General features: G+C 38.9%; 1 annotated feature.

Annotated features, from left to right (window-relative positions):
- Window positions 17,107-17,704: an enhancer, noted in NCBI's record as "NANOG hESC enhancer chr2:223258471-223259068 (GRCh37/hg19 assembly coordinates)". NCBI's record gives its function as "activates a minimal SCP1, AML or CMV promoter by ChIP-STARR-seq in naive H9 embryonic stem cells {active_cell/tissue: H9 hESC(naive)}" and the evidence as "EXISTENCE:reporter gene assay evidence [ECO:0000049][PMID:30033119]".

The following is a 17,909-nucleotide window of genomic DNA, read 5'->3' as shown; positions in this document are numbered from 1 at the left end:
TCTTATGTGTACAAATCTTCACACCAACCTCATGAGGTAGGTGGGACTGATACTCCCCACCCCCAATTGAGCCTGAGACTCAAAGAGGTTACATGAATTCTAAAGGCCTTTTCAACTAAAGGGAGAACCAATATTCACACTTGCAACTTCTGGCTGCAGATACTGATCTTTAGACCCGAAACCCAATGTGCTTTCTAGATGTGCATGTTGTTCACTAAATCATATTGTATTCAGAGGCTGAATGTTTAATTCATCATCTGTATCATGAGTTTCTTTCACCTGAAATGTAGGTACTATAAAAGCAGGATGATAACTCTAACATGAGGCCTCAGAACCCAGGCAAAATCCAGCCCATGGAGACTGGGAGTTTTTAAGCAGGTACGCAGACCAGACCAGATCTGGCTTCTTGTAGTGACTCTACTGATAGTTCTCACTCATGAGCTGAAGATGTGTACAGGATTGAATCAAGCTTTTCCAAGATGATGAGAGTTGCCATGGAAAGGGAGAAAAACCCTCCACTGTCACCCGTAGCTCTCCAGACAACTCACTTGTCAACAAATTCCTTATTTCTGTTATTTGTTGTTTGAAGAGGGCTAGACAGCCAGAAACTGGCAGAAATGGAAAGAGAGGCTCTAGGACTGAAACCTGAGCTGCTTCCTACCTTCGCTTCACAGTCACTAGATCACCAAAGCCCCACCCACCTCTCTGCAGAGTCTGCTTGCTACTGCCATGGAAACTACCAATTCCTACCCATGTCAGGGCCTTGGAATGTTGTAGAGGGCTGCAGGATCTGGGGCTCCTAAGAGATTCTGGAACTCAGTGATCTACTGATACTATTTCACCTCGTGTATACATCAGATTGCCTCCTGGACTTTGCTGGAAATCTAGCCACTTTATTTGGGCAATGCGTTTTGAAAGCCAAGCAAACTTTTGACACACAGCCCTTTCAAAATTTGCAAACTCCTGTATATGAATTTGGTAACTGACAGTTTTTTTAAAAAAACACTAATTCATATCTTTGCATCTGTGTTACGTAAATACTTGAGGATTAATAGCTTTATCAGATTAGAGGCATTATCATTTGTTAACGAATTGGTCAAAGCCTCAGCTCCATGGACTATCCAGGTCACCAGAATTTTGAAATATAAACCATGGCACTCATCTTCTGCTGTTGAGGGTGAATCCCTTTCTTCTCTTTCATGAAAAATGTCTTTTTTTCTATTTGGACATGTTCAATAAATCATCAAACCGAAATTCTCCTTTTTAAAACTCTCAGGCTGAGAGAAATTTCAGCTTAAAACCTCACTTTAAACAAAAACAGTTAAATAGGCAACAAAAACAGAAATAAACCAGTGAGACTACATCAAACTAAAAAGTTGCTGCATAGCAAAACAATCAACAGTGAAAAGATTGAGCTAGGTGTGGGGGGTTCATACCTGTGGGCCCAGCTACTTGGAAGGCTAAGGCAGGAGGATTGCTTGAAGCCTAGGAGTTTGAGTCCAGCCTGGGCAAATAGACCCTGTCTCTCAAAAAAAAAAAAAAAAAAAGGACAAGTGGGAGTAAATGAAGAAAATGTGGATGCAAGGAGGGGAATGACAGGCACTGGGGCCTACTTGGTGGAGGATAAGAGGAGGGAGAGAATCAGAAAAAAAAAATATCTATTGAGTACTACGCTTATTACCTGGGTGATGAAATTATCCGTACGCCAAATCCCCATGACATGCAATTTACCTATATAACAAAACTGCACCTGCACCCCTGAAACTAAAAGTTAAAAAAAGAAAAACTCAAATAATATGGCATTTCTGCAAAAAGGCATATTTTGCCTTCAGTTCCAAAAGGCATATTATTGAGATTGCCAAAAATAGAAAGTATGGCCCATTCATTAAATCTTTAGCATGAATAAATGTGAATCTGATATTTTTTAAATCTCAAAATAAATACATAAAATTTTTTTTAAAAAAAGAAATCACTGTAGGATCCTTCCCAATAGTCAGCTTTCTGGACATTTTTATAACATCATTCAATTTGCAAATTCAGTAAACAGTACTTTCCAAGACCATGTTTATTATATGGATATGGGTACAGCTGTGGCACTTAGTTATCAAAAAATTTTAAAGCCTCATGTAGCTCTGGATAAGCTTCCAAATCTATAAATCTATAAAGTACAACTTTTGGTTGTACTTTATGCACATATTCAACTTCCTAAAACCTAAAAGTTGATTGGAAAACTTCACAGATAGTTACACTCAAAACACATTGTCTAATAAACAAAGCAAGTCCCAGAATAATGCAGCACATATACAGCATGTTGCTATTTACGTCTATTTATGTCTAAAATATTAAAATACACATTTTTGTGTGTATGTGTATATGTGTGTGTGCACACATGCAAAAGAATAGGAAAAGGGAAAAACACTCATTGGCTGACACCAGCTACCTGTGGGAAGAGGTATGGAACAGGAGCCAAGGGAGACTTTTAATTTTGACTCTACGTGGCATTTGCTTGAATTTTTCACATACATGTATTGCTTTAGTGATTTAAAGGATTTATTGTTCTTTTAAAACTGTCCTAACTGGTCAGGCTTGGTTAGTGAGAGAAGCAGGTTTCTAAGATGCTTACACAAAAGAGATTGTAATTATACTGAGAGATTACAATCATTTAAAGGTGGCTGTGAGCCACCAGGTATCTCAAGCATATCTTTCTTTCAAAGTTAACAATATCTCTGCCAAACTCGCCTGATAAACAACAGAATTATTTTCATTTTTTTTTTGTTTCCAACCAAGTAATCTACTAAGTCATCTTGTGGTGGTGAGAAGGGCCCAGGGTAGGGAGGGGAGCAGTGTGAGATGCTGGACATGTGCTATAACCCCTCTGGATCTCAGGGTTCTCCAACATCCATGGGCAGGTTAATCAAGGTCTATCCAACTAAAACGTCTGTCTGCAGTGGGCAGATGATCAATCTTGTAAGTGGCCTGTGCACATAGGCCTGCAGTGCCTACTTTGTACAAAGGCCCCGACCATCATGCCTGCCAATATAGATTCTCAGAACCAAAATGACCTGCAGACTATACCATGGCTTTGGATGAGACATCAGCATTAATTCAGCAGAGTCTGTAGACAAATGTGAGAACTATTAATACACAGGAACCAACATCTAAAGAGGCTGGCCCACACTGTCATCTTAAAAAATGGAATTAATTGCCAGTCTTTAAAAATCAGATGATTTCATAGGAGGGAAGGTAAATTAGTACAGCCATTATGGAAAATAGTATGGAGGTTCCTCAAAAAAACTAAACTAGAACAACCGTATATGATCCAGCAATCCCAGGAATGGGTATATACCAATATATCCAAAGGAAATGAAATTGATGTATCAAAGAGATATCTGCACCTCCATGTTCATTGCAGCATTATTCACAACCACCAAGATATGGAATCAACCCAAGTCTTTATTATGTATGAATGGGTAAAAAATGTGGTATGTAACACAAAATGAAGTATGTCAGCCTTAAGAAGAAAATCCTGTCATTTGTGACAGCATAAATGAATCTAGAGGACATTAAGTGAAATAAGCCAGACACAGAAAGACAAATACTTAATGATCTCTTTTATATGTGGAATCTGAAAAAGTTGAACTCATATAGGCAGAGAGTAAAATGGTGGTTACTAGAGCCTGAGGGTGTTGGGAGAGGTGTTGGTCAAAAGATACGAAATTTCAGCTAGACAGAAGGAATATGGTCAAGAGATCTATTGTACATCATGGTGACTGGAGTTAATACGAAAGCAGATTTTATGCTTGAACCCGGGAGGCGGAGGTTGCAGTGAGCTGAGATCACGCCACTGCACCCTAGCCTGGGCGACAGAGCAAGACTCTGTCTCAAAAAAAAAAAAAAAAAAAGCAGATTTTAAGTGTTCTTGCCACACAGAAATTAGTATGTGAGGTAATACATATGTTCATTAGCTTGATTTAGTCATTCCACATCATAAACACGTTTCGAAACATCCTGCTGTATGCCATAAATATATAGAATTGTTGTCAATTTGAAAAAATAAAGAAGTGGAAAATAAAATATCAGATGATTTTATGTAAAATATAGATCTCTATCTTCACCTTAAAAAGCTGGAAGATCTGACATCCCTGGGCCAACATTCACTGTGAAGAATCTCTCAAGCTGATCATCTGCTGCTCTCTTTGGGCAAGGCGTTACTGTGGGCTTTTGCACAGTTCTCACCACTTCGTATTATTTTATATCTTGCCCCATCACTTATTTTATTGCCAGCTTGCCCCCGGAAGTATTTGCATTTTCAACCACTCCATTTAAAACAAGAAAGTCCAGTTAACAATGTTGTTCATTTGGAGGATGTATTAGTCCATTTTCACACGGCTGATAAAGACATACCGGAAACTAGGTTAATTTATAAAGAAAAAGAGGTTTAATGGACTTACAGTTCCACATGGCTGGGGAGGCTTCATAATCATGGTGGAAGATGAAAGCCACATCTTTCCTGGTGGCAGACGAAAGAGAATGAGAACCAAGTGAAAGGGATTTCACCTTATAAAACCATCAGATCTCCTGAGACTTATTCACTATCACGAGAACAGTACGGGGGAACCACCTCCATGACTCGATTATCTCCCACCGGGTCCCTCTCACAACACGTGAGAATTTTGGGAGCTACAATTCAAGATTTGGGTGGGGACACAAGCCAAACCATATCAGAAGAGTCTCAACATTCAATCCAAAAAGAAATCAACAGTCCTCCGCCTAGAATCTAGAATGCAGTGGAAGAGACTGCAGCGGCATCTGTATCATCTAATTTAGTCATATGTTTGGTCTCCAAATCTTCTTGCCTTTTTTAGTATAATTAGTGTCTGTTAGCAAACAATCCTGTATCTGAATTTCCTTATGTGTGTTTAAATTTTACCCATCTTGACATTTGCAGCAGCTTCTCTCAAGGGGAGTCAATATGTTTACTGGAAACTTTAATAAGGTATGTAGTCTTACTTAAATAACAAATACTTATCTACTCAGAAGAATAATTAACAGAATACTAGTTTATAATTTTCGTGCATAGTGCTTTCTCATTGCTAATAACAGGCTTCTTTTTATTGCTAATAATGCCCTTTCTATTACTAATAATGCTGAGAGGCAACATGAGCTGGTGGAGCAGGTTTGAGTCAGGCACACTTGGATTCAAACCCAGGTCTCCTAGTCCTTGGGCATTTCTGTTTCCTTCTCTGTGCCCCAGGTTAACTATCTAGACAATTAGGATACCTTTCTTGAAGGGTCATTTTAGGAAGTTAATGAGATGCTTCTTTCTTCCTTACTTTAACTGTAATAGGAATTTCTGCAGATCTCCAAACATTTTCCTATCTGCGCCATTGTAGAGATGATTTCCCCTGCATCATTAGGCTAATTCATAGTTGTAACCATTCTATTAGGTGAAATTAACAGCTTTGTTTGCATGCCATAAAACCCTCCTTATCACTAACCTCTGTGGTCAGCATGCAGTGAAGGAGAGCCTTCATGAACAGTGAAGTGGTAACAGGAGACCAACAGGACAATCAGACACACTCTGATTTCTAATTTGCATATGTTACCTACATGTTCTAGGGGCTTGAATATTTAGAGCTTTTACAATGTGTTTTATTGTTGACATTATGCCACATTAAAATACCAATGTATTGCCTGATTAATAAACACTTACGGAGCTTTATACATCCACAATCTCATCATGAATTGAATTTATTAACTGTGGTAAACACCTTTTGTCTACGTGTAGTAATTGGTATGTGGATTTGTTGACCATATACCATATACTCTCCATGCTACAGAGTTCTTTTAGTTGTTTTGCTGACTGCTTTGACAGAAGTGAGCTATTTATTAATTTCCTAAGAACCAGGAGCTTGTTCCACCTTTTAGTGTATGCAAAATCTTCTCCCTGGTCTGGCTTAAATTTTCCACTTCTTTTTTTATACTTGGTTAATTTTCACTTTGGTGTCAGGGAAATGGTATAGCTGAATCTGTTCAAATGTCACTGACATACATAGAAACAGTGAACATCTCCCAGTCCAAAGGCCTGAGAACCAGGAAGGCTGATGGTGCCTTATGGACTTCCAGGAGAACGTGGCTTTGCTACTGAATCACAGTGCTGGTTCTGGGTATCACTTCACAGAGTCAACAGGTAGGAGTCTCCACACCACCTGCTGTTGCCATCACAGCTAAAATGTGTGCCTTTGCTGTGTCTGATGAAGGAATAAATCTTGTTGATGTTGTTGTTATTCAGGTCAATGAGATTTCATCCTATCAATTTGTTTTTATTTTACTTTATTTATTTTATATATATATATATATTTAAAACTAGTCATGCGTAGTAGTGAGAAGAAAGGAAAGAGTAGAACAAGGAGTTAAATCTGTAACTGACTATGAACAATCAATTGCCTTAACTCACTACCTTTGGACCCTACCCCTTTTTTTTTTTTAAGACTAGTTAAGTGCAGTAGCGAGAAGAGGGGAAAGAGTAGAACAAAAGTTTTTTATTCACTGAGGTTTTATTTATGATTCTTCCAAGCTCTTCCAATTATTACAGGGGCTGGAGGCCTAAAAACTACGTTTCTCAAACTCACTCTTATTGGCAGAGTTCCAGTTTAGATTCCTCCCTGGGAGATGCGGAGTGATATTTGAAGGGGAGAGAAAAGCAGAAGCTGTTTTGCTTCCACAGCATGGGCAGCCTCACGTGAGAACCTCAGCAGATGACAGACATGGGGCTTGGCCAGCAGCTTTTGGGTGCCTTGCTGTGGAGCACCCACTTCCTGTGAATCACCACAGGATCCCGTGATTCCTTTATTTTCTGATTACCTAAACGTCAGCAGTGGATTCCATAATTAACGGTCCCCCTAGTCTTTCAAATGGGTAATGAGCTTCTAATCCCTGTACTAAACCTCTTGCTACTTCAAATACCTAGAGTATTGTATTAGTCAAGGTTCTCCAGAGAAACAGAACCAATAGGTTGTGGAGATTTATTATAAGGAACTAGTTCACGCAATTGTGGAGGCTGGCAAGTTCCAAGCTCTGCAGGGTGAGTTGGTAAACCAGAGACCCAGGAGAGCCAATGGTGTGGAACCAGTCCAAGTCCAAGGGCCCAAAGATCAGGAGAGCCAACGATGCAGTTCCAGTCTGAAGGCCTGAAGTGTACTTGAGGCCCAGGAAGAGGTGATGTTTCAGTTTGAGTCCAAAGACAGGAAAAAGCTGATGTTCCAGTTTAAAGGCAATTAGGCAGACAAAATTCTCTTATTTGTGGGAGAGTTAGCCCTTTTGTTCTATTTAGGCCTTCAACTGATGGATGAGGTCCACCCATCTTAGGGAGGGTAATCAATTTATTCAGTCTACCCATTTAAATGTTAATCTCATCCAAAAAAAAGAAAACACACACACACACACACACACACACACACAGAAACACCCAGAATAATGTGGTTTTTTTTTTTTAACAATTTTAATTAATTTTAGAGACAGCATCTCACTATGTTGCTCAGGGTGGAGTACAGAGGCCATTCACAGGCACTATCATCGCACACCATAGTGCACCACAGCCTCAAACTCCTGGGATGAAGCGATCCTCCTGCCTCAGCCTCCCAGATAGCTGGGACTGCCATTTTGTGCCACTGCACCTGGCCCAGAATAATGTTTCACTGAATATTTGGGCACCCGATGGCCCAGTCAAGTTGACATATAAAATTAACCATCACAAGTAGCTTCTGATTTGTGCCACCCATGTTTGATACATCCCTCATGTGTCATACACACAAATGGTTATCTTACCTAGAATCATTTTTTCCCTATTTACCCCAGGGTAATAAAATTTTATTCCTGAAAAATTTTTACAATTGGCCTCATGTAGGGAAATGCAAGTGGGCAGGAAATAGTAAGTAGTAGTGAAAAGTGCACCTTGTCCCTCTAAAGGACCATACAACTCATTAAAAACCATTATTCATACTCATCTCTCCTTTTCTTCACTGTTCTTTTTAACTCAATAAGAGGTGAGTGTCTGTGCAGTGATCTAAATGGCAGACCTTACAACCTGAGGAAACGTCTGCTACACCAGCAGTCAGGTGGAGGCAGGGTCCATGCAGTTGTAGAGGCATGTTCTAAGCACCCATTTTGATATGGTTTGGCTGTGTCCCCACCCAAATCTTATCTTGAATTGTAGCTCCCATAATTCCCATATGTTGTGGTAGGGACCCTGTGGGAGATAATGGAATCATGGAGGTGGTTTCCCCCATACTGTTCTCGTGGTAGTGAATAAGTCTCACAAGATCTTATGGTTTTATAAGGGGAAACCCCCTTTTGCTTGACTCTTATTCTCTCTTGTATGCCACCATGTAAGATGTGCCTTTACCTTCTGCCATGACTGTGAGGCCTTCCTGTCACGTGAGTCCATTAAACCTCTTTTTCTTTATAAATTACCTAGTCTCAGGTATGTCTTTATCAGCAGTGTGAGAATGGGCTAATATACCTTTCTTCTTTTATTCACTTTTCCAAGATCATTCATTTTGGAGAAGTCAAAGGTAAAGCATATATACTCCCTGTATACCAATCGTAAGGTGACACACTTAGGGCCACATTCTTTTATACGTTTTTAAATCTTAAAGTATGTCTTGAAAATAGTAATTCCCACCATATATCCCAGGACATTTCCAAACAGCTCCATTGGCCAGAGTCCCCTGGTTAATCTTTTGATGGTCTGTAGTACCAAGGAGTCTGCCACTGTACTCCTAACCCCGGAGTGGGGGATAATTCTCACACAGAAGGAAGTGTCTTAATTCCAGACAAGACTTTGCCTAACATACATCAGACACAGTCTTCCAGAGAATTACTGAAGTCTACCAAACTATATAAATTTATTCCTAAGAATTTGAGGAGACGTGAATGCTGGTCCCATCCCAGTGCAGTCATTGTCATGTTAACTTCTTAGGATTGCAGTGGTTGCATATTTATATATGTAGTTGACCCTCCCACAACACAGGAGTAAGGGGTGATGACCCCCACATAGTAAAAAATCTGCATATAACTTTTAACTCCATTAAACTTAACTGCTAATAGCCTACTGTTGACTGGAAGCCTTATAAATAACAGTCGATTCACACATATTTTTATGTTACATGTATTATATACTATATTCTTACAATAATGTAAGCTAGAGAAAAGAAACTATTAAGAAAATGATAATTAAGAGAAAGAGAAAATATCTTAACTAGTCATTAAGTGGAAGTGGGTCATTATAAAGGTCTACGTCTTTGTTGTCTTCACACTGAGTAAGCTAAGGAGGAAGAAAAAGAAGAGCAGTGGGTCTTGCTGTCTTGAAGTGGAAGAGGCAGAAGAAAATCCACATATAAGTGGACCCACGCAGTTCAAACCTGTTTGTTCAAGAGTCAACTGTACACACACACACACAGATAGGAAGGGGTTAGACAAGATGATCTCTAGGGTCTCCTCTAGCTCTAATTAATGCCTGACTTTACTATACTTAAAGTTGGAGGTTATTTGGGCTACTGAAGCCCTAGTATCATCCAGTGAATACATTTGGTGAAAGTAATTTATTCTGCCCTAGAACCTTGTTGTCAGACCCTGATGGAGCCGTCTTGTTGTTGTGTCTTCCCCCAGTCTCTGGGATAACTTCTTCCCCTTACATCACTCCCTGACTTTGACCCACATCATTTTCTGTTTCTGTTTTTCTTTGTGCAATGCATTCTGTCTTCTGTCTGTTGTATCCTTCCCTGAGCTCATTGGTCAGGGTTTTGCCTGCCACCAATGGGCTTTCAAATCCTACTTCCCCTGTTATGCTTTCTTTGGTCTCCCAGTTATAATTAATTTCTCCCTCCTTTATCCCCCCATCATACCATCTTAGATCAGTTTGGCTATTGTAGTCATTACCATATCTACCTATATACTCCCACAGACTACTCATGGATGACAAGAACTATGTCGATTCCCTTTTCAACTTTCTACCCTTAAAGCATTAAAGCAGTGCTTTTTATTTAGCTGGTGCTGAGCAATCCAGCATTGAATTGAATCCTGTTTTCCTTTTTTTTTTTTTTTTATCTTCTCTAACAGGGATTCAGGATTCCACGGCATGGTTTTCAAAGATCCTGGAATTAAAATGGCCTTTAAACAAGGCTAGGAGGTTGTCTTAACAGACCAGAGCAAGATAGCTAAATGTGCAGAGACAGCCTCACATCCTGAAGGATGTTGGAAACCAACTGGACAGGAGAATAAACCAGACCATTCAACTAGACATCCCTTCAGAACAGACTGCTTCGATCCTGCCTTCCTCACTTTGTGCAAAAAGTTACTCACCAGTCCAGCACATAATGTTGGCCTTCCTGATAATTTTATAGGTGATTATTAGATAAGGGAGTTAAATGGGACTCTTCCCCAATAGCTGCTTAAAGAAGAAAATGTGTTGTTTTTTTTTTGTCATAAGGTACAAGATTTTTTAAAAAATGGTTAGGCTACTTATGAGTTGATAGTAGTTAATAATGGATTAAAGTTATATGTTATAGCAAGTGACTTAGCCTTTCCAAATCTCAGTTTTCTCATCTGTCAAATAGTGTAATAGTAACTTTTCCTAACTTTTCAGTTGCTGTGATTATTAGAGATAATATTTATAAAATGCCAGCATAGACTAGTACCTGGCCCACAGTAAGCACTTAGTAAATCGTGGCCACGGACGGGCTGTATGAGGATGAGATTAAAATATCAACTCAGGGCCGGGTGTGGTGGCTTACGCCTGTAGTCCCAGAACTTTGGTAGCCTGAGGCAGGTGGATCATGAGGTCAGGAGATTGAGACCATCCTGGCTAACACAGTGAAACCCCGTCTCTACTAAAAATACAAAAAAAAAAAAAAAAAAAAAAAAAAAGTAGCCAGTGTGGTGGCGGGCGCCTGTAGTCCCAGCTACTCGGGAGGCTGAAGCAGAAGAATCACTTAAACCCAGAAGGTGGAGGTTGCAGTGAGCTGAGATCGTGCCACTGCACTCCAGCCTGGGCAACAGCGAGAGACTCTGTCTCAATAAAAAAAAAAAACATTAAAATTAAAATTAAAAAAAAATCAACTCAGTTTGTTCTAGTAAATAGTTTGAATCTTCTTCTAATTAGTAAGCTAAATTATGAAATATGGCTCTGATAACACTTTTCTGAGTATTAATTTACAGAAAATACTGTTATTCAACACTAGCATAATCACTAAATTACATATATTGATTTAAAAAAATGAAGGTAAAACCAGTTATCATCTTAAGAACTAGAGTAGGTTTTCATGTACTAATTAAATATTTTAAAGAAATTTTTTTTAGAAACGAATGTCTCTATGTTGCCCAGGTTGGACTCAAACTCCTGGACCCCAGCCATCCTCTTGCCTCAGCCTCCTGAGTAGCTGGAGCTACAGGAGTGCACCACCCACCTGGCTTAAGTGGGATATTTTTAACAAAATGATTATGTGCTTGGTTTATGTGACACTTACCATTAAAATGGATTCTGATCCATTTTTTTTTCTCAAACAGTTCAGATCTGAATATGTTAATCCCAAAATTAAAAAAAAAAGCTTTATCATGCCAACTTTAATTAGATTAATAAAGATTATATAAGTGAATCATTTACTTCAGGTATATTGTTTGGCAAAACTTGTGCTGCTCCAGGAAAGAATAGCTTCTCCTCTAAATATTATCGTAAGGAGAAAAACACATCTAATGTCAGGAGCAGAGCTCATATGGCAGCTGGTCAACTAATGGATCCTGTAATTGGCAAAGAGATGGGCTTCTGCAGATAAAGGAAGCAGAGTAATCATGTTGCTAAAAATACACGAGTGTTTGGCTCTTCAGATAACAAATGGGCTGACACAGGACCATATGCATGAAGCTAAAAATACCTTGCAAAATAGCTGCAATGAGGTGCCCTGGGACACAGTTGTAATAATAAACGACTGTATACTGGCTGTCAGGCTCCTATTTGACAAAACTAAAATATCTTGTACTGCTTTTCTACTTACTGGGAACATTGGAAAAAAGAACACAAAATTGTCAATGTGGCAGTGAAAGAAAACGCTCATGGAAATGTGAGATCTGATAATCAGATAATGCAAATGATACTGTATACATAGCAACAATTTCTATCCTCAGAATAGCTCACGATAACAGGGACCATTTGTTTTAAGACAGTAAGATCCAATTCACCTGACTGTGCTCTGTGACTTAGGATCACTAGATGCTCAATTCTGAGTCACAATATCTTAGTAGCTGTATCACCTGGGGCAAGACTCCACATCATTATTCTGAGGCTTAGCTGTCTCATCTATAAAATGGGATTAATAAAACCATTGGATACTGTGGAAATAGAATAATATATCAAAACAGAATGTCTGGCAGAAACAACGCTTGTCTTTTTTGTCTTGAATGTAGATCGAGTTAAACATAAATAAGAATTCATCCAAATATTTGCTGAGTGGTGGAAACATTATATTTTCTTTATTCTGGAATGAAATGGTTAATTATTCAGGGATAAGAAAAATCTTTTTATAACCAATCACATGCCTGGACTTTGTAACCTTGGTGACATTCTAAAGTGCTGTTGAGATTGCTGCTGCTGCTGCTCTAATGAATCCAGTGTTTTGGTGGAACTGGGGCATCCAGGGTCCTACAGCAACAGAAGTGTTTTCCAGAGTAGTGGACATAATGGGCCCCTTCCTGAGCAACAAATCCTCCACTCATCTTTCCTAATCAGACCCTCAGTTTCCTAGCCATGCGATCCTGCTGTGGCTCCTGATTGGCCTCCAATAGTTGCATAATTCTACCTCTGTTGCCACAGAGATCAGTGCACTATGTAACCCAGGTCCAACCAATCAACATGCAGCATTTTCCCAGCTTCAGTCATTCATTTTGGAATGGGCATGTGATCCCAGTGATTCAATCAGAGCAAAGCTCAATCCTTTTGTTTGGTGGTCAGGGTATCAAAATAGCTTTCTGCCCTGTGTATGAATAAGAAAGTACATATCATCAATACACAAAAGCCAGTTACAGTTTCACAAACTTGCAACCTTCAGAAAACTTACTTTAAACATATATATGTGTGTGCATATATAAATGCAGTCAAAAATATTTTCTCCTAGCTACATAGGAGAAAATAATCTAACAAAATATGGGCAAGACCTTTAATAAGAAATGTGAAAACTTAATTGAAAGATACTAAAGAAGACATAAGTGAAGAAATATGTCATATGGATAAATATGAAAACTCAGTGTTAAAAAATGTCACTTCTAACTTGTTCTATACTATCAATTCATTTGCTATGAAAATTCTAATAAGTTTTTTCAAGGGACTTGATAGTTTGTGTACTCCAAAAGCAGATGTTGAGATGGAGTTTGGGGTGCTAGATGTTTACAAGTATATTAGTCAGTTCTCACATTGCTATAAAGAAATACCTGAGACTGGGTAATTTATAAAGAAAAGAGATTTAGTTGGCTGATGTTTCCACAGGCTGTACAGGAAGCCTGATGCTGGCATCTTCTTGGCTTCTGAGGAGGTGTCAGGAAACTTACCACAATCATAGCAGAAATGGGGGCAGGCACGTCTTACATGGCAGGAGTAGGAGAAAGAGAGAGTGAGGGAGGAGGTGCCACACACTTTTAACCAGCTCTCAAGAGAACTCACTCACTATCATGACACAGTACCAAGGGGAAAATCCACCCCTATGATCCAATCTCCTCCCACTAGGCCCCACCTACAACATTGGGGATTACAATTTGACATGAGATTTGAGCGGGGACACAGATCAAAACCATATCAACTAGGAAGGTGTGAAAGGAACAGGGAGGAAGCAGGATTGGACAGAGGAAGATGTTAAACTCTGATGCAGCCTTGACAAGTCTCAACCAACCCTGTGGTGAGCTCTGAGAAAAGTACTGCCCTTCAGAGCATCCTACTTCAGGCCAAAATATTCCTCATCCCACTTAATCACCAGATAAAGGCTGCCCTGGAAAGGCCAAGTCTCTGTGTAGGTGGTTCTCTGAAGCTGAGGCTAATCTTAAAGAAAGTGATATTTGGGGGCTGTCTGCTGACTGTACTCCTTTCAGCCTGCCAGCAAATTCTTCCTTGAAGGAGGCCTATGAAAGCAAATCTATGTCTATCACACAAGCTGATTCTAAAACTGATAGAAAAAAAAAGCCAAGAATAGCTAAGATATTACTCCTGAAGACAAAGGAGGAAGAGGTGAGAGAGGAAGAATGATGAGGAGGGGAAGGAATAAAGGGATTTGTCCTACCAGAAACAAAACTTATTTTTATTTACCTATATATTTATCATTTTCTGTGTTTTTCATTCCTTTGTGAAGATTCAACTTTCCTGCTGGTAGGATTTCCTTTAAGCCTGAAAAACTTACAATGTGGGCCTTTTGAGATAAATTTTCTCAGCTTTCATTTACATGAAAAGGTCTTTATTTTGCTTTTGTATTGCAATGTATTTTAGCTGGATATAGAATTCTGAGTGAGTTGATGCCAGGCGCGGTGGCTCACACCTGTAATCCCAGCACTTTGGGAGGCCAAGGCGGAAGGATCACAAGGTCAGGAGATCAAGACCATTCTGGCCAATGTGGTGAAACCCCATCTCTGCTAAAAATACGAAAATTAGCTGGGCGTTGTGGCGTGTGCCTATGGTCCTAGCTACTCAGGAGGCTGAGGTAGGAGAATCACTTGAACCCAGGAAGCAGAGTTGCAGTGAGCCGAGATCATGCCACTTCACTCCAGCCTGGGTGACAGAACTAGACTCTGTCAAAAAAAAAATTCTGAGTTGACAGGGATTTTTCCTTTTAATACTTTTCAGATGTCATCTTCTTATGCTTAGGTCTCCATTTTTTCTGATGAGAAGACTGTGGTCATTCTTATGTTTACTTCCCTGATTGTAAAACCTTTTTGCTTTGGCTACTTCTAAGACTCAGGAATTGGACTAATATATATCTAGGTGTGGTTTTCTTTGGAACTTGCCTGCTTGGGTTTTGCTGAGCTTTCAGATATCTTTCATCAAATTGGGAAAAGTTCTGGTCATTACTTCTCCAAATATTTTCTGTTCTAATATTTGAATCCTCTCATTCTGGGACTATACTTCCACATGTTTTGGAATGCTTAATATTTGCCATAAGTTACTAAGATGCTTTTCTTTTTCTTTTTTTCCAGCTTTTCCCCCTATCTTTTTTCTTCAGCTTCTTAGATAGTATTATGGGCTAAATTGTGCCCCTACCTCAAATTCATATTTTGAATTCCCAACCCTTAGTACCTCAGTGTGTAATCAAGTTTTGAGATAAGGTCTTAAAGAGGGGACTGAGTTAAAATGAAAATATGACAGCTGAGAAGCCTATAATTAAAATAAAATAAAATAAATAAAATAATAAAATAAAATGAGAATATCAGAGTTATCCAATCTGCCTGATGTCCTATAAGAAGAGAAAGGACACCAAGGGTATATGTGCACAGCAGACACCCATATGAAGAGGTAGCAAGAGGGTGGTCATCTAAAGTTAGAGGCCTTAGAGAAAACTAACCCTGCTGACACCTTGATCTTGGACTTCCAGCTTCAGAACTGTCAAAATAAATTTGTCTCGTTTAAACCACCCAGTCTGTGGTATTTTGCTATGTATTACTAGCAGACTAATCCAGATAGGTTCTATTGTTTCTTATTCAAGTGCATGGATCTTTTTCTCTGCAATTTTCAATCTGCTATTAATTCCATCTATTATTTCCTGAAAATATAACTTTTTTGTTTCAAATGTGGTATTACTAATTTTTAGAATTCCCATTACTACATTAATATTCCCCATTTTTATGTCTCATTATATGCATATTTTCTTTTACATCCATGGATATATTTATAATAGCTATTTTTAAGTGCTTGTCTGTTAAATTCAACATCTGGTCATTGCCATTGAGGATGCAAAGATGGGAGAACTTTGCTAAATTTTTCTTTCCTGGTTATGGCACATTTTCCTGCTTCTTTGCATATCAAGTATTTTTTTCATTGTATTCTGCCATTTTTTTCTTTAGAGATGAAGTCTCACTCCCAGGCTGGAGTGCAGTGGCACAATCATAGCTCACTGCAGCCTTGAACTTTCAGGTTCAAGTGATCCTCCCGCCTCAGCCTCCTGAGTAGCTGGGACTACAGTGTGAGCCACCATGCCTAGCTTGTATGCTGGTCATTGTTAATACACGTTGAATATCCCTTATCCAAAATGCTTAGGACCAGAAGTATTTTGGATTTGGAATTTTTTTTTTTTTACAGATTTTGGAATATTTGCATATATATAATCAGATATCTTGGGGATGGGACCCAAGTCTAAACACAAAATTTATTTATATTTCCTATACACCTTATATACGTAGACTGAAGGCAGTTTCACAATATTTTAAACAATTTTGTGCATGAAACAAAGTTTTTGTGCATTGAGCCACCAGGAAGCAAAGCTGTCACAATCTTAGCCACCCATGTGAACAATCTGATTGTTTGGCATCACGATCATCCCTGGCTCTAAACTGATATGCTACTCATAAGCAATAATTTTCTTAAGCTTATTCACACATAAATACTTAACATTAAAACATATGATATGCCATTAATACAATGAAGAAATATTGTGTGCAGAATAACTAAGTAGCACAGTAGCATCACCAGAATACCTGTCTCAGCTGTTAGACAACGGCAACAACAAACAGTGATAGGTTGCAACCTCCACCTGATGCTTTTCTTTGACTAAAAGGTTACTAGACAGTGTGTTTCTTTTTCTTTTTTTTTGTTTGGTAAGAAGAAACATCAAAAGTAATTGAGGGACCAGGAAATAGGTCCTCTAGGAATGAAGAGGCATTCTGCAGGATGGCTTTTAAAAATGTTTTCTCCAGAATAATCTGCCTCATTAACAATGAGTTTTTGCTTAGATGTCTTTTCTTGATTTTATAAACTGAGAAGGTTTCTTGTCTTGTTATAAATATACACTGCTGTAGTCCTTCAAAAAGCCCACCACACATTTTCACCATGTTGTCAATAGATACTTTTCCTGTAGTGTTGACATCATCTTCATCATCACTATTATCATCATCTTGATTGGGAACTGTTTTGTCATATTTCACCATTGATCATTGAATAAACAACTGGAGCCTTGTTATTGATGTTAAAAACTTTTTCAATTATCACCTTCTTCCAGCTTATTGATGGATTTTAAGGATACATTTCTTGAATATGTAAGAAGGTCAGATGTCCCTGGCGATCCATGCCTTTTGTTAGCATAATAAAGGACTGCTAAGAAATTCACTCCTTGAGGACAGCAAAGCTTTTGCCTATCACAGCAAGTTTACACTCATGCATACCTGCTGTGTTACCACATCCCAGCACAGTTATTCTGTCTTTGCATCCTTAATTCCTGTAGGGGCTTTCTCATCAGATGTAGTCGGTGTCTTTCTGGAGCAATAAGGCCAAAAGTGTTGATTCATCAGTATTATAGATGTGTTCTGGCATCAGATTTTCATCAGCGATGACCTTGACGAACTCATCAGTGAATTCCTCTGCTGCTTTGTGATCAGCAGATGCTTAATCACCAGCAGTCTTTACAAATTTAAAGCAGTGGTTCAAATTTTTACAGGTTCTGTTCATTGTTAACCCCAAAGGATATATCTACCTCTCTTTTGGGTATCATTCTGGGACCACCAGTGAGCAAAGTAGGGTTTGACCCCAGAGGCTCTGAAGTGAGTCCAAAGAAAACATTTATGAAATTAATGCTAAGGCCACAGCACACCTAAGGGTGAAAATGTACTCCTTCTTCCATTTACTATCACAAGTTATGTCCAGTCACTTTGTCCAATAGAGCTCATCAGAA

Source organism: Homo sapiens, chromosome 2, assembly GCF_000001405.40.
Source record: "Homo sapiens chromosome 2, GRCh38.p14 Primary Assembly".
Classification (NCBI taxonomy): domain Eukaryota; kingdom Metazoa; phylum Chordata; class Mammalia; order Primates; family Hominidae; genus Homo; species Homo sapiens.
This window is presented reverse-complemented; position numbering and strand designations above follow the sequence as displayed.